The following is a 22,942-nucleotide window of genomic DNA, read 5'->3' on the forward strand; positions in this document are numbered from 1 at the left end:
TTTAAAAATATATATAGCCAGAATGGTTTTTGGCAATATAACAATGAAAAAACTGAAACATTTTGGGGGTAATTAACTCATGTTTTAGATATCTACCATTATTAAAGTTTTCATGGGTAAGACTAGATCTTAAAACAGATTGATTTTTTGATGACCAGAAACTGAACTGAATTTGAACAAGTCCCATTGGGACTGAATTTTTAGCATCTCAAAAGTGGTGTTTAAAACCACACTACTCTGACAATGGGAAACCAATGAACATAGTACAGCCACAGGATCTTTATATACTGCAATGGGTGGAAGTAAAGTTTCCCTAAAATAAAATTGATGTTCCTATTATCAATTATCCCACAAGGAAGTAAATCCTGAGACAAGAAAGGAGGGCTTGGGAAATATATGTCAGTTACCGAAGACAAAGAGAACCTCTCCCTTTTCTAGGTGAGGGACTCATCTTAATGAGCAATGAAGCCTCAATACTGTAACAGCCAGTGCTAGTGACTGGGCATGGGGTGAGTTGCCCCTATAATCAAGAATAAAGCAAGCACCTGCCTGATGAGGAACCCCCAAAGGATTTGGAACAGAGGCGGCAATTTTCAGATGTTTTGTATAAGTTGCACTTCCCTTCTATTATCCTCAAACAATATGTTTTAAAATGCTCCAAATCCTAAAAATCTGAAAATGATTAAATGTAGTTCCTGGCCTCTCCTTTACTAAGAGAAATTAAAGAAAAAGGAGACGCCCAACTGCTGGAGTGCACATGTCTAGTGGAGTTGTTTACCCTTTCCCAAGTCCGAGGTGGCTTTGGCAGCAGCAATTATGGTTGGAGAAAACCGTGCCTGCAGTGATGTTCTCACAGACAGTTCAGTAGAAAAAGGCCAGCTGAAGAGAGATTCTGGAGCAACCAGCACCTGAGCCAGTGGTGTGGATGCCCTGCCATGAGGGCCTGCAGCAGCATGCAGTGAGAACATTCGGGATTTCCTTTTGAGAATGTCAAGTCATCACGGACAGCGGCTCATGAGTCAGACCTCACCCCGTGTATCATCGTCAGAACACCATCCATGGTGGTTTGGACCATTACGCAGTTTTAAATTGTTTTTGTTCTTATTCATTGTTTAATTTATATCTGTGGTGGATCATTGGTTAAAGACAGGAAGCAAAAGAACACTGATGTTGAAATACAAATTTATACGAAACATAAAAGAGATAATTCTATAAATTCCCTTAAGAGTTTCTTTAACCAAACCTACCAGTTGCATTGAACTAATCAAAATATTTATATAGCACATCACGCTCTCTCTAGTTCTACTTTTAGAATGTTGAAAGGGAAACTATTTTGCCAATAATATGGAATTTGGGTTTTTTGTCTAATGGGATTAAATATTATCCATAACAAAATGTTTTATTTGAGCATAGGCTAGGAAAATGACAACTGAAATCTTTTCTCTGAACCCATATTTTAGGAACAAAAATATAAAAATTATTTCAATAAAACACTTGTGTTTTTAAAAGTAAAATCCAAGAAATCCAAACATAAAATAAGCAGTTTTGTTGATGTCGCCACAAGTAGTTACATTTATATCTATATTTTAATATATATTTGGTCCCCAACTAAATATTATAGAAATCATTTTACATTTCAGATCTTTCAATTTTTTAAAACTAAAAAAAAATTTTAAATAAAATTTTAAAAAATTGATAGCAAATGTTACTTGTTAAGTGGGAAAACGTTAAAATGTATTTTATATAATAATTATTAAGATTATATTTAAACAATCAATTAAGACAACCATGTAATTTATCATCCAAACTAGAACAGTTTTGAGAATGGAAAGGGCTACTAATAATCATCATCCCAGGAGAATATATAAAATCCAGGCCTATCCTAAGGAAATGGGACTGTCGGTAATACTACTAAGAATATGATCTGTAATAACATCTTGGCCTTTTCATAAATTTTAAATTATTTATTATGCAACACATAAGATGATGAGATGATTTTTACTGTAGAAGGGATATATGCCAGAAAACGAACCTAAACTAGATTGTGCTATTTTAATCCAATTCCTTCATTTCACAGATGAAGATCATAAACCTAAATATGCTAAAAGGTATGACCAAGGTATGACACCTAAGCTAGAAGAAACTTTCATGCCTTTAAATTATAACTACTTGCTTGATGACAGATGACCGGGAAATTAAAAACATAATTTTAATAACTACTTCCTAAAATTATAACAAGTAATGTGAAATAATTAGCACCTTTAATAAAAATCTTGAAAAATAATTGTTATTGTCAATATTCTGAGATGTTGTACCATGCCTATTTATAGAAACTCTAATAATCAGTCCCAGTGGCAGAAAAACTTACCAAGGTTGTCAGAGGTGAGACAGACAGGTGTGGGCTGGTAACCTGAAGCAGCTGGTGATCTGAGCAGTTCCTCATCTGGAAGGTCATAGGAAAGGGAAAGTTCTCACACTGACAACTGAGCCTGCAAGCTCATCCCCACCAGTCCCGCAACATGGTGGCCTGCTTAAGTAACAATGACTGAGCCTGAGATGGTACAATGAAAGAACGGTAATCTTGTGCCCAGATGTAGAACATTCAGAATCTGGAGAAGTAGTGCCATCTGATTTGTGGAAACAGCCTAAAACAACAATACTGGGACAGAGGCAGATGCAATGGCCACTAGTAGCCAGATTAGACTTCAGTTCTCATTTCACCTTCCATTTGTAAACGGGTCTAACCTCTCAGAATTCAGCAAACCTCAGAATCCGTGGACAATTTGGGGAAGGAGTGCAATGGAGTTTTAATAAAAAGCTACAGAATACTCTGCTGAACAGTAGAAGGGGCATCTTGAGCAATTCTTTGGAAAAATTAAACATGACACAAAAGCCATTCACAAGTGGTGTTTCCATTATGCTTAAATTCAAATTGTGTAAAACCCAGTGAAGATAGAAAGGGAACTGGTAAATTGGACCATTATAGATCATTTTATGTGTATAATTGAATGATTCTTACATAATTTCAGCATATTAGTTGACAAATTAGAAAAAGAAGAAAATAAACAATGTTCGGTCTGATTAAAGGAATAAAGGCAAGAAGTAAGTAGAGTAATGAAGAGAAGTGAAATAAGACAATAATGATGAAGACAGATAATAATGGCACCTTAGCGGGAAAAGTCCTTCCATTGCTACTTAGTGGCAGTTTTTTCAATTTCTTTTTCCACAGTAAACTTTTCACACAGCCCTTTGAGTTCTACAAAAGAAAGAACACAAGATTTGAAGATGGAAAATTTGAACTTAAATCGTTGCTCCACCATTGACCTTGAGCCAATAACATTGTTTTTTTATCCTTGTTTCCCTTTACTGCAGAGGAGCAGGAATGCCTTACTCACAGGGCTTGTTGAAAGAAATAAACACAGTAATTATGTGAGCAGGTTCAACATACAGAAGGCCATCAAATATGTTAATTTCTTTTCAAGAATATTTAAAATAATCTTGAAGAATACTTTACAAGGAAGAATGTCTAAAAATATAAGAAACATTAAAGAAAAGAAAGAATCTGGAGAGTCTTACAGGGAGTTAGCCATTTAAAAGAGCTCATTAGCATTTCATAACCTTTCCAGTTAACAAGGTGCTGTTCTGAAGATTCTATCATTATATGATACACAAGTTGCAATTAATGAAATATGGAGAAATGAAAACTCTATTAGAAAATTGCCAGTTAGCAGGACAGGGATTGTAATTATTCCTCAAATAATTGTAATTTGAGGAAAAGCATTAATAATTAAAAGGTCAAGATGGTCCACCCCTTAGGAACCTAAGTAGCAGGGAGTTTATAATGCAAATTATAGTTTTTATTAGGTATGTGAGGGGAAAACTTCACCTCTGAGCACAAAAACTCTAAAAGAGGACAGACTATCTTTTTTACTTACCTGAACAGTTTCCTATTCTTCTTTTGTTTGGTCTAGACATTACCATCACCTTTCTAAGACGTTCATTGAATGTTATAGGTCCCAAGAATAAAAAAAGTGTAACTAATTGTGTAGCTAAAATAAAAACAATTTTTAAAGTAAAGAATAAAAAATAGGAATTAACGATGAGATACGACAGAATAAACAATAAAAGCCAAGTTTTCCAGGGTAGATCAGGGTCACCACTGTCACCATCAGCATTATAATATCTCCTTTATTAGCTGTTACAAAATCTAGAGCATTTCTTAAGATTCCTCCTAGAAAATTCCAGAAGTCCTAGAGATTATTTTAAATATGCTCATTATTAACCTCCTAGATACCACTTAGCACCTGTCATTTTTCTCTACCCCTGTTTCAACAGCTGTAGTAATGGCTTCTGGAGAAATGGCAGAATCAATGAGAATTAGCCAAACCAATTCCATGAACAATTCCGGTAAGTCATGTCCTCTCCATTTCTGCAAGTCAGGATTAGGCTGCTTCAGCTCACACTCCAGTGCTCCAACAAATAGAGAAAAGAAACATTCCTCATGCCTCTTGAACTGCCCTGCTGTAAAATCCATATGTTGAAAACATCTTAAGGCACTCCAATAAAACAATCTTCTTTTTTCAAATGTGTAAGTATTATGTTGAACAACTATGGTCTGTAAGAAATTAGAAAGCCGTTCTGTTTTGTTCTGCTGTCTTTATATTTATTCAATATTTGGGGGATTGTCCTTCCTCTGTCCCCTGGATAAAAACTTGGGCAGGCCACGGCATTTTTCAGGTAATTTTTAGGTAACACAAATAGTCAGTGGTGTACTGAATCTGCTTATACTAACTTGCAAGATTGCATGTATTTCTTCCTAACTCTGCATTTAGTGATATCATGTTGGAGACTTAAAATACTCACCTAGGTTGACAGAGAGAATATATCTTAAGAGGGACAGACCTCTGAATGGTACTGCTCTTCTCCCTCTGCCCAGATGACATCTCCATCCTCCCAACTGGTGCAAGTGTGTGGAAGGCATGGATGCAGTCAATATTGAAAGAGATCACATTCTAGGAGTGTAGTGATTATAGCCTACAAAGGTCAAGAGAAGACATGGTGTGAAGATCTGTTTTCTGAATGATAAATTTAACATGATGAGTAAATGAATTATTGCTCACATGTTCCTGCATGCTCTGGGTGAGATTTGCATTTTTGTTCATCAACAATGAAGCTCAGTATCATTCTTTGAAAGATTCACTGGACACCACTCTTCAAGGGCAGCAAGAAAGATGATACACTGTCATGAGTAATGAGGTAATCAATATCAAATAAGTTGTATTAGAGAATTGCAGAAACAAGATCTATACTGTTTCTATACAATTGAGTCCTGAAGAGTCATGGCCGAGTGAGTCATCACAGCACTGCTACATTTTTCTCACAGTGGGAGATATAAAATTGACAAGAAGTGGACTACAAAGACTATAAAGAGAGAGTTCCTGGATTTGAACAGGAAGAGACAATGCCTTAACACTGCAAGGAATCTTCTTGTGCAGTGACTGGACAATATGCAAACACCTAAGTGCTTCTCTAGATCTTCACCAATCAAGATAAATCACTACGCCTCACATGAGCCCATACATTTTCCAATACATTTTTTAAAGAATTGCTTTTATAGACAGGAGTCCTGCAAAAAAATATTTGCCAGTGTTTCATATACATTATGTGTGGCCAAAGGCTAAAGGATGGCTAAGTGACAAAACTTCTGCTGAACTAAAGATGGCCTCTACACTTGACACAGTCCCATGTTCTTTGGCCAGACTTCAGATCCCCGACAATCTCCTCTGTTAGGATAACTACTTTTCAGCAGTGGTTCCTTGACCCTTTATGAAATTAAAGCTCTGTTGGAACACCACACCGCCCCCCACCCCCACCCAAGCTATCCAAGCATGTTTTTACGTAGCTGAACACGCAATAACGTAGTCAACGATCTGCACTAACCTCAGTGACTCCTGCTTTACAAAGCCTTCCTTATTGATGTGTGTTTGGAATTGAATGAAGGAGAGGGAACAAAGACAAATTATGAGCAAGGAGAAAGGAGAAGGAAGCACAGGAGATTGCAGATCTAACACTGCAGAAGTTAGCCTAACAAAATAGAGGGCCCAGTGAATACATTTAGGAAAAGGAATATGGGTCTATGAAACTTTGAATACAGCGCCAATTCTGTCATTCCTCTGTTCCTCCACATATATAATTCCTCATCATTCTCAGGAAACTCCATTTCTTTCCCAGACAGGAGTGTTGGAATACATCTCCCTCTCCTACTAGATAATCCATAGAACACAACATCCTCAGCAGTACATTTCTGAACTTTGAGCTATGCTGACTAGAATACGAGGAGAATGAGTGGAAGACTTCGGTCCAAGGTGGGGCTTAGCCTCTGAAGTGTGGTATAGCCATGTTTACCATGCTTTCAGACCTTTCGCCATACAGATTAAAAATAGTGTAGTAAGAATGTGCTTATTGCCTATTTACAACTATATAACTTGAGGCTAATGACACAACGTGGCACCAGTGATGGAGTAAGAAACTGAAAGCAAAATTTGAATGTTAGATTTAGGTGACAAGGTTTGCCAAGCAAGTTTTTGCAATCATTTCAGTAATTATTCTGAAATTTTAGGGTGGCATGATTGAGGTCCAAAAAGTTCAAGATCATGATTGGTACTTCCTACAGCATTGCAGGTCCTCATGAGGCTGAGGACATTAGCCAAAGATCAAGCATGCCTTCTTTGAGGGAACCAGAGGAAACTTGATAAGCTGTTGTCATGGAGCATCTGCTAATTAATGCTACCTTGTCATTTTTGTTGAACGCTATCTCCATCTCTTTTAAGGTAAATGCAATAAAGTGTAATTCACATACAATCTATGTGCTTCAGTCTTCATTTTATTCTATTCTCAAGTCCTGTCTTCTGTAGACTTAATTCACACTCCAAGTCCCTACTTATTTTTCTGCATCATCTAGTGTATTACCATTGAACTCCAATGGGTTTTATACACACACATATGTACATGCACATGTGGATTCACACACATATTCCACGAACAAGAATTGATTTTCACAGTCAGCACATGATGCACATTTTACATCATGATCTAATAAAAACATACACATGTATAAATATAACTGAATAAATGTTTGACACACAATAATTATCCCAATACATATGACATATTCTGCTATTATCTATTTTATTTGTAATGCTAATATTCATGAACTGATTAGTTTATCTAATTATGGGTTTCAGCCTGTAATTTAAATCCATTTTGCTCTACATCCAACGTGCAGATTGTACCCTGGAATACATTGGTGAATAACCAATAAAATTCATTATAGAATTATCTGCTCTTCAGGCTCACCCCTCAGCTTTTTCTTTCTTTACTTTTTGGTCCAAGTGAAATAACTGTGCCAAGCATTTTACAGTATTCCCAACTAATCTCTGAATTCAAAAGGGAGGCATATATCCTCATTTTCAAGTAAATTTAAGAATTAAACACTTGTTCTGCCAGAAAGATAAACATACATATACCTACCTACACACACACACATACACATGGACAGAAATAAAGGCCTGGAAATAGATGCCCAACATTTATAATAGTGATTATCTCAAGATAATAAGACTGAATAAAAAAGGGAAGGGAATGAGGGACTATCACCTTTTACATTATGTACTTCCACACTTTTCTACAATAGGCTTGTATTATTATTGTACTTTTTAAGTTAATTAAGATATATTCAGTTGTAGAAATTTGGAAAACATGACAATAAATCTCCAAAGTCTCACCACCCAGAAAAAAATCGGTCATAAAAATTGGATACATTTCTTTTCATCTTTTCTTCCATTAACATACACACACAATCACACACATACACACAGAACACTATAATTATAGTAGACATAGATTTTTATCCTTTTTCACTTAGCATTATAATCAAGGATATTTAGCCAAGTTGTTAAAATTTTTTCAACTACTTAGCATTTCATAATTGCATATAGTTCATCAAATGGGTATTTCAAAAAATAGAAAAGTGGTCATTTATTATTAAAATTATTTCCAGAATTCTCAATAAGAATATTTTAATAAATTATAACCCCCAAATGAAATAATAAAATTATTAAATTTCTACCACAATTATGTGTAAAACAGACATACACAGTTGAACAAGATTGAAGCCCACAGAATAGTTTAAAAAGGAGTGTGCCTTAGTATCATTAAACATTTCTTACCCAGTCTTCAGGTAAAATAGTTCACATAAGTGTTCAGCACTTTGAGGATATAATCATTTAAAAATGGCTTAGAAAATTTACAAATAATTAAACTTAATTAACTTTAATAGGGCAGCATGAATAGAGCTACACAGATAAAATAAACAATACAAACCATTAAATGGAGGAAAAATCTAGAATGGGCATAGTTTTAAACATATTCCACTTGAAGAACCTGTACAAACCTAGTGGTAATAGCTAAATAGGCAGCTAGGCTTGTACCGGTCAAGCTCAAAGGAGATAAAGTGGTCAGACTGCATATTTAGCAACAGGGAGCTAAAGCCATGGCCAGTGAATGAGCCCAGACAAGTACTGTACATGGGATGAAAGAAGACCATGGTCACACAGATAAACCAGGTCATTCAGCTCACCCCTACTTCTTTCCTCTTTAGCTTTAGAGATCATATATATGTACCCTCCTCTTAAATCTATATCACATGTTTTGTATCCCTAAACATCTTATGAGCTTTTCAATGACATGTATTTCCTTTTCAACCATGTAATACACAGTTGGATGCTAAAAGAACTCTGGACTTTCAATTACAGTAATTATAAAGTCTTTAATTCATATAATCCTATACATAATATAAATAAGAATCTGCTCTAAAGGCATTGGAGGCTCAGCAAAATAGTGAGTAATTACCAGGCCATGATCCAGAAGAAGAGGGAAATCAATAGAGGCAAGGTCAGGATTTAGGCTTACTCTTTCCTGGGGCACTGGCTAATACTGGAAGAGGCTGCTTAGGGGCTGAGGGGCTGAGTGGTGCTCTTAACAACATCCCAGGAATAAGCAGACAGAAGCTGGAGGCCAGGACCTGCTTGAGAATACAGAGGTGCCGATAAATCTTATGCACTTTGGGTTAGGACACTGAAGAGTTATATCCAAGGAGTAAATGTTAACTAGAAGTTGTTCATCACTGGAACTACAGCTAAGCTTTCTTCTTCTTTCATCCCATGTACTGTCTTTAGAGCTCGACAGGTACAGTTTCTCTCAGTCCCAGAAATTAAATTGAGGTGATCAGATTACTAGTGTACAGAGGCAACTGTTGAAGCAAAAGTAAACAATCTCCAGAGAAAAATATTATACTAGGCCTCAATTTCTACAAGCAATTTTTAAGTATAATGTCTGCCTCACAATAAAAAACATCCATGCATGTGAAAGGACAAAATACAATAAATGAGAACCAACAGAAACAACAGGATAATTAAAAGGCCTGTAGGGCCTGTAGATGCTGACGTTATCAAACACAGACTTAAACTATGCTGACCATGATTAAGGTTATAAAGGTATAATTAAGAATTTCAATTAGGACAGAACTGAAAACAATTTTAAAAAGACATAGTACATTCTTAAGAACACACAGAATTTCTAGAAATAAAAAATACAGCTAACAAATTAGGAACTCAATGATGAGTTTAATACTAGTTTAGATGCAACTGAAGAGAGAATTCATGAAGTGACACGAAAATCAAAAGAAACAATCTAGAATGTAGTACAAAGAGAGAAAAAGATAAAAAATACAGAAGCAAGGATAAGAGATGTAGAGAACAGAATAAGAAGCTCTAAACTATGTGTAAATTATAGTCCCAGAAAGAAAGCAGGGAGTATATGTGGCAGGAGTAATATTTGAATAATGGCTAAGAATATTCCAAAACTGAATGTTCTAGACATAGATTTGAGAAACCCTGTAAACCCAAGCAGGTTAAATAAAAGCCAGCGATAATGAATATTTAAAGTGCTAAAAGAAAATGTTGTCACTGAATGTTTGTATCCCCCTGAAATTCATATGTTGAAGCCTTAACCTCTAGTGTGACTGTATTTGCACGTAAGGCCTGTAAGAAGGTAATATGGTTAAATGAGATCATAAGCGTGGGCCCCAATCCAATAGGGCTGGTGCCCTTGTAAGAAAAGGAAAAGGAAAAGATACGGGAGCTCTCTCTCTCTGCCATGTGAGGTCACAGTGAGAAGGCAGCTATCTGTAAGCCAGGAAGGGAGCTCTCAGCAGAAACTGAATTGGCCAGCAACTTGATCTTGGACTTCTCAGGTTTCAGAACAATGAGAAAATAATTTTCTATTGTTTAAGTCACTCAGTCTGTGGAATTTTGTTACGGCAGCCTGATCAGACTAATGTAGAAAATAAGTGCCGATTTATAATTCTAATAAAGTAAAATAAAAACGTTTGGGGATAAATAGTGAGTGAGAGAATTAATTATCAGTAGGTTAATACTGCTGGAAAGGAAGTATCCAAAGGCATTTTTATGTGGAAGGAAAGGAAACCAGATGAAAGGCAAAAGATGAAGATGAGGAAGACGAAGAAGAAGAGGAGGAGGAGTAGGAGGAGGGGAAGGAGGAGGAGAGGAATAAGAAGAAATAGCAAATAAAGTAGTGAATTTGTGAGTAAATGCATTCAAATATTAATCATATAAAGTAATAACAAAAGTAGCATTTAAGTTTGGGGTGTGGTAAGTGGTGTTAAAATGCTCTAAGATTATTAAATTTTCTGGGATAGGTTAAAAGTAACAATTAGTATTAGACTTTGATATGTCAAGGATACATATCTAATCCCTAGGTTGACACTGTAAGAGTATATAAATACTAAACTAATGGATGAGGAAAATGAAAAAATAAAAAGTATTAATCCAAAAGGAGAGGACAAGAAATAAACAATAGTCAGGACAACTAAAAGCCCATAATAAGATGGTAGATTTAAATCCAAGCAGATCTGAATTATATTAAATATAAATACTAAAGTTCAAATTAAAAGATGGATTGTTACAGTGGACTTAAAAAAATGCAACTATATTCTATATATATGAGGTTATCTTAACAAAAGTATAGAAATAAATAAATAAAAGAATGGGGAGGGGGCAAGAAAAAATAAAACAAAAGAATGAAAAAATATTAACCAAAGAACATCAACCAAAGGAAACAAATTTAGGAAACTAATTAAATAGACTTTTAAGGCAAAATGCATTATAAAAGATAAAAAGACACATTTCATAGTAATAACAGTTTCAAAACTACAACTGACCAAGAATGTTTAACAATTCTAAACTGTTATGCACCTAATGACATTGCCTCAAAATAAATAAAGCATAACTGACAAAATTACAAAGGAAAAAAGTCTAATCTAAAATTACAATAGTGAGACTGGTAGAATAACCATCCAACTGAGTCTAGTCAGCCTTAAGAATCATAAGAAAGCTTAAAATGGTTGTTTACTTAGGTCACTGAGTTTTGGGGTAATTTATTAGGGCAGGAATAGATAACTAAAACACCAATCATGTAGCTTAAAAGTTTCAAGTGTCAAGGTAACCATTCCAGAGCTTGATGTCTGGCCCTTCCTGTTTCCTGTTTCTATGTGCTTCCCTAGGATGTAATGGGCCTGTGGAAAACTGCCCATCTGTGTACTGTTTTCTCAGTTATTCGCTTTCTGCTATTCCCTTTTGTTGATCAACAACTGTACACACATGCAATGGCTCAAATTAAGAAGTGAAGTAAAGAAGGATATGGTAAAATGAGAATACTCATGCATTCTGAGTGGGAGTATAAATAAGTACGTTTGGAAGATATTCTGGTGTTATCTACTAAAGATAAAGATATATCTCCTTATGATCCAACAAGTTCACTCATAGATGCAGAGAAGTATGTAAATATGCATTGAGATTCATATGATTCATATACAACAATGATCATAGTAACACCATTCATAATTGCCCAAGGTTGAGAACTTCAACATTTTTATAAATATTAGAACAAATAAAATAAATTGAGACTATTCATACAACAGAGTAGCATAAACCAATTAAAATTAACATGTTACATGCAACAACATGAAAATATATGTCCACTAGTACAAGAATGTTCATAATTACTTTATTCATAATAGCCCCAAACTGGAAACAACACAAATGTACATCAACACAATCCACATGATATATCAATGAACAATTTGTAGTGTACCTATACAAAGAAATGCTACTCAGTAATATAGAGGATTACACTACTGATTCACCCAACCACATGAATGAATACAGTGATGTGCCGACAACTGGCTCTTTAGGGTAGGGAAACCCTGATTTGTAGCATTTGCCAATTTCCATGAGGTAAATAGTCCCACCATGGCCAATTTCAAGCTACCAAACTGAAGTCACTGCACGCAAATTTGGTAATACATGCACACAGTTGGCTCTCTCAACCTAGTCTGAGCTGGCTCTAGCATGACACTAGATGAATCTCACAGACAATAAGCTGTGCAAAAAGGCCAGACACAAGGGTACCCATTATGTGACTTCATTTATATGAAGTCCTAGAAAACTAATTTAAAATGAAAAAGAAAAATCAGAAAAGTGGTCCCATCTGGGGAGCTGGGGTGGGGGATTATCTGGGAAGAAGCAGGAGGGAATTTTATGGGAAGATGAAAATGTTCTATAGTGTCGTGATAAGGTTGTGCATTACATAGGTATATCCATTTGTCAAAATTGTACAGCTAAGACTCATACCTTTCAAAGCACATAAACTTTACCTAAAAAAAAAAAAAAAAGAGAAAGGAAGGAAGGGAGGGAGGAAGGGAGGGAGGGCAGGGGAGGGGAGGGGAATGGAGGGGAGGGGAGGGGAGGAAGGGAGGAAGAAACTGTAAAAAAGTTGTGAGATTAATTGAGTAGGGGAGTGGGGATAGATGTATAGAAAACAATACAGAAAAGGCAGAAAGTTGATAAATCATTGAAGCTGGGTGATGGGTGTATGGAGATTTATTACATCCCCTTTACTTCAGGTATGCTTAAATTTTTGTGCAGTAAAATGTTTAAAAATAACTCATATATAGATGAACATAGATTCACCAACGTTTTCATTCACCAACCACGGTCTTTTCTTTGATCGTAAGTCTTCGGGTTTCATTTTATCTTTGTTGCATAAACCGCCCCATGCATTTCTAGTCATTTTCCCTTTAAAGTAGAAAGAAAACTTAAAGACACATATAAAGCCATCATTGTGCAAAACTCTAGACTGTTACAACTTTTTCCATACAGCTTTTCTCTTTAACATGCCTTTTTTCATAACTAATTGGACAGGTTTTGCCAACTAAATTGACTGTGCCTGTCCATAACATTAAATTTAGTTGATATAAAATCAATAAGCCACTTTCTTTTTGCTCTTATGTTCACCAGTTTATATAATTTTAAAAGTGTATAATTAAAATACTAATATACCTGATGTTACACATTTGAGAAAAAACTCAAAACAAACTCAAGATCAACTAACCCTCAGTAAGAAAGAACAACTCCACAACTCAATTGATATGCAGGGGTGCCACTGTGCACAGGACCTTTCTAACCACTTCCCAGGCATGCTGGATTAGCTGACACTCCCTATTCCCTATATTATAGACACAGGCCACTGCCTCTTACTATTACAGTCCTAAATTATTTCATAGAAGTCTATTAACCTCTACTTTACCTAAAAACATACTATAGATACACTTCAACTAAAGCTAACTAAAATGTAATCAATCATTTTGTCTACTGGAGAATGTATCCTGAGTACTCATTTGCACATATTTCAGTCTTTCAACAGTAGTAGTTCTATCTAGCAATGACATTTGAGGAAGAAGGAAAGATATACTAGTAATTTACAAATTTGGTATCTCTGCATAAGTCATGACACAAAATTCCCCCAACAGTCTGAAGAAGGCTAGACGTAAAAAAAATCTACTGCATGATTTAATTAATTTAGTTATTTATTTATTTGTTTGTTTTATTATACTTTAAGTTCTAGGGTACATGTTCACAACGTGCAGGTTTGTTACATATGCATACATGTGCCACTTTGGTGTGCTGCACCCATTAACTCATCATTTAGCAGTAGGTATATCTCCTAATGCTATCCCTCCCCACTCCCCCGACCCCACAACAGGCCCCGGTGTGTGATGTTCCCCTTCCTGTGTCCAAGTGTTCTCACTGTTCAATTCCCACCTATGAGTGAGAACATGCAGTGTTTGGTTTTTTGTCCTTGCGATAGTTTGCTTGCATTATTTAATTTATATGAAGTTCTAGAAAACTAATATAAAATGAAAAACACTCAGAAGACTTTTCTGGGTAATCGTGAGTGGTTTACTGAGAAGGGACATGAGTGAATTTTACAAATATACAGAGAGCATTTACACTGGGAAACAGGACTCCAGATCCAACAATCTTATTACACATTCATAAGAATGGTGGAAAGGAAGAAAAAAAGCCGGCACAGTTCTGTCTGTTTATCTGTTTATCTAGCTTGAACTCACCTTACAAAAAGGTTGTTGTCTATTGCATTGTTGTACTTCCTGGAGGGGAAGTTAGAATATGAATAAACAATGATTTTTTTTGTTCCATAAGAGGCTATGGTCAGATATACTCTGGCCAATAAATATCCTTCCGTGAATAACAATAGGCCTTCCTCTTAGTCCTTTGAAAGACAAGAGAACAAGAGAAAACAACAACTCTATGACTGACAGGTCCACAGAATAGCTCTGAACACCTGTGCAGGCTGGCCTGGAGGTTCAAAGTTCCATTCAGGTGCACTTTTTGGAAAATCTATGTAATCTGACTCTCTCCGTCTCTCTCAAGGTTAAAAATACTTAATTTCATATGTAATTTCATATGTAATAATAGTAAATAAATTTTACTATTTATAGAGTTTTTAATTTGTGCCATGAATTATCTCATATGACCTTCCCAAAAATCCTATGGTGGATAGGGGTGGGAAATGAGACTCAGATAGTTTGAATAATTAGTTCAAATTTGCCAGGCTAGCAAGATGTAGAGCCTGATTCCAACCCACGTAATCTGACTCCAGAGTGCACATTATTAACCACTGGCGAGTCAATTGACGCAATGTAGAGACCTAGGGAGGAAATGTCAGCAAAGCGTGAGTATCCTTCCTTATGGACAGTCTTAGCCAGCAAGCTAAAAGAAATGCAGCCGACGGATTTTGGCCCAAAACTGTTCAGCAATCCAATGTCTCTAAAAGATAATGAAAACAAAAATGAAGTCTACTTTTGTTAGAATGAAGAATGACTGGCCTGAAAAACTAGTGGAGATATTTTTAAGTCAATAGATTCAAAATCAAACTATCAAAGGGAGCTCTGCATGTTTTCAGGCAACGGGAGTAGAGTGAGAGGTGAGGCTTGAATTTTTAAATGGTATTCTCCTTTATTTTAGAATATTATTATTTTTGCCCCAGTTTTCATGAAGAAAAGAGATAAATGTGTACTATTTCATATTCTTACTGCTTGCATCAGACATGAATTATCGGAATTTAAATGCCTTATGTAATACACAGTGGATTAGTGTATTTTACTACTTTGATGGTGTTTTTTTAATATAAATTCAGACACATTTATTTCCTATCCCTGAGACAAAAGAGCTATTGATAGAAGCAGAACACACATGTATGCGGATGACTGTTTATACAGATATGGTATAAATCTATATTTCTATCTTATCAAAATACAGACTTCTGACAAGGTTAGAAAGAATCGGCCATATTAAAACTATTGCCATCAAACACAATGTTCCAAGACCCCTAGGATAAATAATAACAAGAATAAATATTTTTTTATAAAAATGAACCCCTTGTCTATGATTTTGGATTTTTTTTCAAGATCGTATGTATCAAAAGGATTACAAGAGGCTAATGCCATAATCAGCCATATGACCTTGGGTAAATCACTAAGATTCTTCTTATCTTAGAACAAGGGAGTTGGAGTCAAGGCTGTGACTCTGAATTCTTCAGTCTTGTATATTCCAATATGGCGTGGTTGGGGTGAGAGGTACAATTTAGAGACTTTCCATGTGTTCCTTCAAACTCCTCATTCCATTTCCCCATTCTGCATGGAGGCACCTACAACATGGTAGAGGTTGAACCAAGTGAGGCAGTTGACATCTCTAATAGTTTGCCACTAGCATAGTATCTGTGTTTTGAAAAGTCATTGGACTTTGGAGGTATGTATTCCAAAGCACCATGTAGCTGGAACTGTTTTGATAAATCTTGTAAAAAAAATCCCAATTGAGTAGCAATAGGGAAAAGCATCCAACACTTACAGGAAGCTCCAGCTGATTGGGGATAAATGAGCTCTGTACTCAGCAACAGCTGCAACAACAGAGGGCCGAGCCTCGGTAGGTGGACATGCACAGAACGAGCTGAGCTGGGGCCTGGAATTTCCCGAAATGAAATCCAAGAACTGTTTAGGTTGACCTTCTCTCTCTTAACACAGTTGACCCTTAAGAAATAAGAGATGACACATCCCAAAGCACACCAAGTTTTTACAACCGCAGCTTAAAAAAAAAAAGGAAAAGTTGGAAAATGAATGGCAGTCCTCTTGCAATTCTGGAAGAATAAACTGGTTGATTTGACTGCCTTCTGTTTGGGGAATAAGCAAAGCGATTATTTAAGAATCATATATGCTGGGGCTGCTGCGGAATGCAGAGTTTCTAGAAAACAGATTTATCTGTCAATTATAAGCAGGCTTCCTGCACTGCAGGACCTGCTTCCACATAGCAGTCAGGGTTACAGTGACATAAAACAGAACACCATGAACTGTATTTAGAAAGGCTGATGTAAAAAATGCAGTGGGGAGGAAGATTGAAATGTTTGCAGAAATATAGATAAGCAGGCACAATATAAATGAGGAAATATGTTTTCTTCCCCCAACAGCATGACAGCCTCAACAGTATTTTCCAGGGAATTGAAAAAAGAATTTTCTTAGCAGGGAAAAAATAAAAGTGGTCATCTGCTGGCTAAGTATATAAAGACACATCTTAAGAGCTTTCTCTAAAGTAGGTTTCTCACGTGAAAAATGAGGCTGTTATGAGGTACAGCCCCTCAGTTTACCCATTTCCATATAGCCTAAAATAATGGGGCTTAGTGTGATAGAAAATAGTGGCAACTAAAAATATCTGTCGCAGATAAGGTTTCTCTTCTAGCCATGGCTGTGTCAAGTTACGTGGTCTTTGCTTTGCTCTGCTGCATTCTGATAACATACACTTAAGTAATTTTGTAAAAAAGCTATGCCTCACTTTCATAAGCATAAAGGAAATAAGATCAGTCATGAGGAACATCTGGCAGGAAGTTCATGGAAAGGGAATTCACCAGAATTATTCAACTGGGAGGGGCCTTGGAAGCCATTTGTTCTAGGTTTCCATATGTTGGCCTGAGGAACTATGTACTTTGTTATGTAAAAATCACGGAAAATAGAGGTCAGAGATAAAGTGAGTTCTATTTTCACAAACAGAATGTCTATAGATATAATGATTTTCATAAACTACCTTACACTGAGTGTGACAACATAAATAAAAGAACAGCAAAACTCAAAACAGTTTTGTTTTTTTGAGTCAGAGTCTCACTCTGTTGCCCAGGCTGGAGTGCAATGGCACGATCTCGGCTCACTGCAACCTCCGTCTCCTGGGTTCAAATGATTCTCCTGCCTCAGCCTCCTGAGTAGCTGGGATTACAGGTGCCCACCACCATGCCCGGCAAATTTTTGTGTTTTTAGTAGAGATGGGGTTTCACCATGTTGGCTAGGCTGGTCTTGAACTCTTGACTGTAGATGATCCACCCACCTCACTTTCCCAAAATGCTGGGATTACAGGGGTGAGCCACCACGCCCGGCTAAAACAGTTGTCTATGATCAATATTGTTTTCTCTCTTCAATTCACTCCAGTGTTTCTCTTGGTCCCCACACTAATAACTGCCTCATCATGGGCTCTGATAGTCATGTTACCAAATGCACACTCAGTTCTCAACCTTCATTTACTTGACCTATCAATAGTATCTGGCATAGCTGATCATGGTCTCCTTCCTGAAACTTGTTCTTCATTTGGTTCTGGAATATCACACTCTCTTGGTTCTTCTACTTCCCTACCCTTTCTTATTGTCTCTTCATTCTTCTTCTTCTATGTAACCTCTAAATATTGAAGTGAATTTATAAGAACTCTAAGTAATTCATCAGCTTAAGGAAAAACAAAAAGAAAATGACTAATTATGTATAAATTGGATATATTGGGAAAAATATTTTTTAGCAGGGAGTCCTTTTAGTGGCTGTATCTGAAAACAAGGTCATGAATAGACTCTGCTCCCACAAACCTCTAGGAAAGCAGACTGTTCTTATAATCATGTGACTTTTGCAATTTGGAAAGCAGAATAAACTTCTCCCTGGAGGCCCTTTATCTTATTCAAATGTTAGAACTTAACCACAGGGTGGCCTTAAAATTTGGAAACATAGGCACATGTTTGCCATTTTCAAGTGACTAAATCATGTCGTTAGTTGATGGACTAGGAGAGGCGGTCCAGAGTGATGATTTAAGGCTGGTGCACTACCTCATTGCACCGCAGTGGCAGGGTTGGATATCTAGGGTGCACCTTTTTTTTTTTTTTTTGAGATGGAGTTTCACTCTTGTCACCCAGGCTGGAGTGGAATGGTACAATCTCGGCTCACTGCAACCTCTGCCTCCCGGGTTCAAGCAATTCTCCTGCATCCAAGCGATTCTCCTGCCTCAGCCTCCCGAGTAGCTGGAATTACAGGTGCCCACCACCATGCCCAGCTAATTTTCGTATTTTTAGTAGAGATAAGGTTTCACCATGTTGGCCAGGCATGTCTCAAACTCCTGACCTCAGGTGGTCTGCCCGCCTCAGCCTCCCAAAGTGCTGGGATTACAGGTGTGAGCCACTGCGCCCGGCCACATTTTTATTGTAGTTTTGCACAGCACATGGAACTACATATTGTGGATGAGGCTAACACAGTGAACACTGTATTAAAAGAGAATATCCAGAAACTACTTATGTGCATTTTCCTAAGCTTGGAGATTTTATAAGCACCCTGTAGAATCCTCTTCCACTGAGCAATGCAAGTAAATGTGTCATGACCTACTCTGGCCTTCCAGCTCAAAAAGCTTATTGACAATATGAGAAGTCCTTGACTCCTGAAAAACAAAGGGATTTTTGACCTCTATAAAACTGCCCAGAATAAACAAGGAAATTGATATCTGTGTAGTCCTTGCTGAACACTATACATAATACTAGAAACTTATACACATTTACTCCATTAACCCTTATAAATTCACAATGCAGAGATGGTGCTTAATCATCATTATCACCATATGGAGTGGGTACTAACTAACGTTTTTAGGCTCCAAGAGGTTAAGGAACTAAGATTTAAACTCATTTCTTCTGCTTCTATCTCTTCTCCATGCCACAGCTTTTGTTCCATTTTTACAAATGTGTAAACAGCGGCTCTAAGTGATTGAAATTTTTACCTGAAATTATATGGCCAATATATGGCAAAGCTGAAATTCAAACCTGAGCCTTTTTGACTTTGGAGTACCATGTTTTTTCATCTATAGCAAAATTATTATGCATCTTTTTAAAGGCAGGGGCAAAGAGGGAAGATAGAGGAAAGTCAGGAGGAAATTCTGGGTCTGTGTCTTTATGCTGGACAAGGATGAGCTTGATGTGTTAAAGAAAATAGCAGATTTCAGAACATTCATTATTTTGTTTTTCTACAGCCTTGAGTAGCTGAGTTGGAATCATCCCAGAATTAGGACCAAATTAAAGTTGAAATCACTGCACAGTTATTTCAATGGACAGGAGCACAGTGCTAATGAGGTCAGGGTCAGGACTCCAGACTGCCCGACTTTTCTCTGTTCTAGCGCCAAAATGCAGAGTTCCCCCTACACAGCCAACTCAGAAACTCACCCTGTTGGTCACAGGCAGGACCCACTAAGACAGCACAAGTCAGCACACTTGTTATTGCTGCCAGAAAAACAAGGTCCAAGCTTATGCCCTATGGCTGGTGGGTGAGAGCCACTAGCTTCATATTCCATTCAAAAGAGAGCCTTTTATATTGGCAGAGTAACAAACAACATGAACTTCATCTGTGGATTCTATCAGATGCAAAGTTGCTAGAATGGTTAATAAAACATCAGAGCTCATGAAGAAAACATAATTCTCTGTGCTGCCCCTGCAGGGATTCTAATCCTCTTTGTGCCCATTCTATTCCTGTAGGTGCACAGAGTTCCCTGCAAAGTGAACTTGATCCAGCTTGAGATACACAACAGAAGATGTAGGCCACCCAACCATAATATACAGCAGCACTAAAAAAAAAAAAAATGATTAGTATTTACTTCAAAAATATTGAGTTCAGAACAAATTGCATAAGATTTTGAATTTTTTTAAGTGACAGGTTACTTCAGAGAAGGACTTTTGAAAAAAGAAAAAGGAGCCAAGTCTTTAGATCTAGTAGAATGTCTATTAAATTGGAAATGTCTGTTTTCTTTTTAGTTTTCCCATTAATGAAAAGAGGTCAAGAGAACAATGTCTTCATAGAATGGAGGGTACAGCAGGGCATTAGCTTTTATTTTCATATGTTAATAAAAATCAGAATTGATATTTTTCAGAAAATTACAACAAAACAATGCAGCAAATATACAAAACTGTTTTCCTGTTAGGAAGTGGAGCTAGCAAAGTAATGCATCTCTTTTGCAAGATTTCAGTTGGGGAACAAAAGCAGCTCTGTTTGCAGTTTATTTCCAGGTGATTGTAATTATACTGACTCAGTCTTTTGCCCTAGAAGAGGGCTGAAAATCTCTGAAAGAGACGACTGGCCTTCTAAGATTTTCTGACAATGGGTACAAGAAGAGTTCTGGGTTCTTTTTCACACTCAGGTTATATGAGGCCAGTGTCTTTAAACTAAAAAAAAAAAATAACAACTATTAGTTACCTGCACTGGAAATTACTGTTGAAGCTCTTAGGTTCTATAGCCTAAAACATACAGCCCTTACTTCCTGCCTTTCCTGCTTAACACATATATTATATTTGCACATGTACATTTATAGCCAACAGTTGATCTCCAAGGAGCTTGGTTGTCTAGTTAAGCATTCCCAATACTGATTGGACCGCACATCCTAACTTCCTGTCTTTGGCCCATCTTCCACTGTGGCATGGTTGTTCTAGCTATATTTTTCTACCTTGAGTTGCTGCCCAAGCAATGATAACTACTAATGCTGAAAAGAGTCATTGATTTCCTGTATATCCACAAGAATAGCTCTTGCCTACACAAAGGGAAGAAGGCACTAAGAAAGAAGGCACTAAGAATCTCTGATGGGCCAATAGTTCAGTCTAGCAATGGTGTGAATGTCCCAAAGTACATGAGACGTGTCTGTAGACATTAAGCACTGAGTTCAGTGAATTAGTCCCCTACTTACTAAAGAAACACACCCTGATTTAGGGATTGGCAAATGTATACCTGCTAAATATTTCCTCACTCAGATACTCTCTGCTGCCTAGAGGTCAGTTTGACAAATTTATTTGTGTATCGTGTGCATTTGACTCCTTACTCAAGGCTCACTGTCTGGGCCCACAGATTAATTACAGAGAAGCAAGTGATGGAACCAGTCAGGACCATAGTCTGTTGTTTTAATGTGAAAAGGGCAACCCCTCCTCCTGGAATGTGGAAACTGAAGTTCGCCCCATCACTAATTGAATCAAGCCAACCACTAGAGCTGAATTACCTGCTTACTAGAAAGCCTGGCTCTTCTAACTATGTGGAGAGGGAAAAGGAACCTGCTGTAACATCTCTGACCCAGTCTTATTTCACTGGGGAATAAGAAAGGTATTATTTGCAAAACTAAATGTTTAGAAGCTCGCTTTGAAATCAGTTAGGGAGTCTGGGTGCTGATGCATGCTCTGTTCAGAAGGAAAAACTAAGCAGGATGGACTGGAGGCCAAGCACTTCCTACCTATTTTTCCAAATGCCCTACTTTCTCACTCTGATTGTCCACCAAACCCCCCCGTTTCTTTTGTCTAGTCAACAAAAATAGAACTCAATGCCAAGATTAATGCCAGAAAAATAAAACTGGGAACAAAGGGAAGATAAAAGTTGGATTGTAGAACTTACATATTTGCCTACATATTCCACCCCCTCAATACTACAGTTATTTGTGTGTTGTAATAATATACCAGCTTCTCAAAATAGTTACTGTTATAAGTAGATAAATGTCATAAATTAGCCAGGTAATATGCAATTGGTTTTATTTTTAACACCAATAGACTTTGGCCAAAATTAATTAATGGGTTATTAATATCTCAGAGATTTTTCTTTAAATACATCAAGACAGCTTGCTAGATAATGATCAAAGCGGATACATTTATTGTGTGGGCTATTCCTTTGTATAAAGGACTAATAGGAAAGGCCAGAGAATTTCAAGTCACAATTCAATTCTAACTTTTGCTTAATTTATCTTTAGAGTTTGTGGTTAACTTCCCTTACAGTTTCAGCCTTTCTCTATGAGGATTTAACTGGAACCCTGTAATTTCTTTGTACTGTCATTTGTATTTCCTGTCTCAATAGCCTCACCTTGAAACTGGGCAAGTTCCCAAAGACATCATAAGTCAAAGTCAAGTTGAACTACTTTTCAAAGGCTTTTTTGGTGCCCTTTTCTAACCAGGGAACTTTTATTTACCTTGACTCATGGTTCCAGGAGCTTAGAAAAACCTTTGCTGCTGATTCTGCTAATACTCAATAACTCCTTTTCAAATTGCCTAAATGTTAAGTAAATGCCATCTATAATTAACTGAAAATTATCAAATGCCATATTTGTAGCACTTGATGCCTTTTTGACTTTTTTTAAGTTGATTTACAATG

At 36.7% G+C, this 22,942-nt stretch overlaps 1 long non-coding RNA gene across 4 annotated transcripts in view, besides 1 other annotated feature; it reads right to left on the minus strand.

The window, feature by feature from the left end:
• Window positions 1–22,942, minus strand: part of LOC105369844 (uncharacterized) — a 310,508-nt gene that overhangs the window by 165,476 nt on the left and 122,090 nt on the right. For 2 of the 4 annotated variants that reach the window (XR_007063376.1, XR_007063377.1), the window contains exons 2-4: window positions 5,121–5,239; window positions 3,167–5,034; window positions 2,369–2,443 (exon numbers count right to left, since the gene is read on the minus strand). This is a non-coding gene — a long non-coding RNA (uncharacterized LOC105369844). The remainder of the gene's footprint in view (window positions 1–2,368; window positions 2,444–3,166; window positions 5,035–5,120; window positions 5,240–22,942) is intronic. The other 2 variants (XR_007063375.1, XR_007063374.1) reach the window with 2 other exon arrangements.
• Window positions 21,508–22,009: an enhancer, noted in NCBI's record as "NANOG hESC enhancer chr12:76105024-76105525 (GRCh37/hg19 assembly coordinates)". NCBI's record gives its function as "activates a minimal SCP1, AML or CMV promoter by ChIP-STARR-seq in naive H9 embryonic stem cells {active_cell/tissue: H9 hESC(naive)}" and the evidence as "EXISTENCE:reporter gene assay evidence [ECO:0000049][PMID:30033119]".

The sequence above is a fragment of the Homo sapiens genome, chromosome 12 (assembly GCF_000001405.40).
Source record: "Homo sapiens chromosome 12, GRCh38.p14 Primary Assembly".
Lineage (NCBI taxonomy): Eukaryota > Metazoa > Chordata > Mammalia > Primates > Hominidae > Homo > Homo sapiens.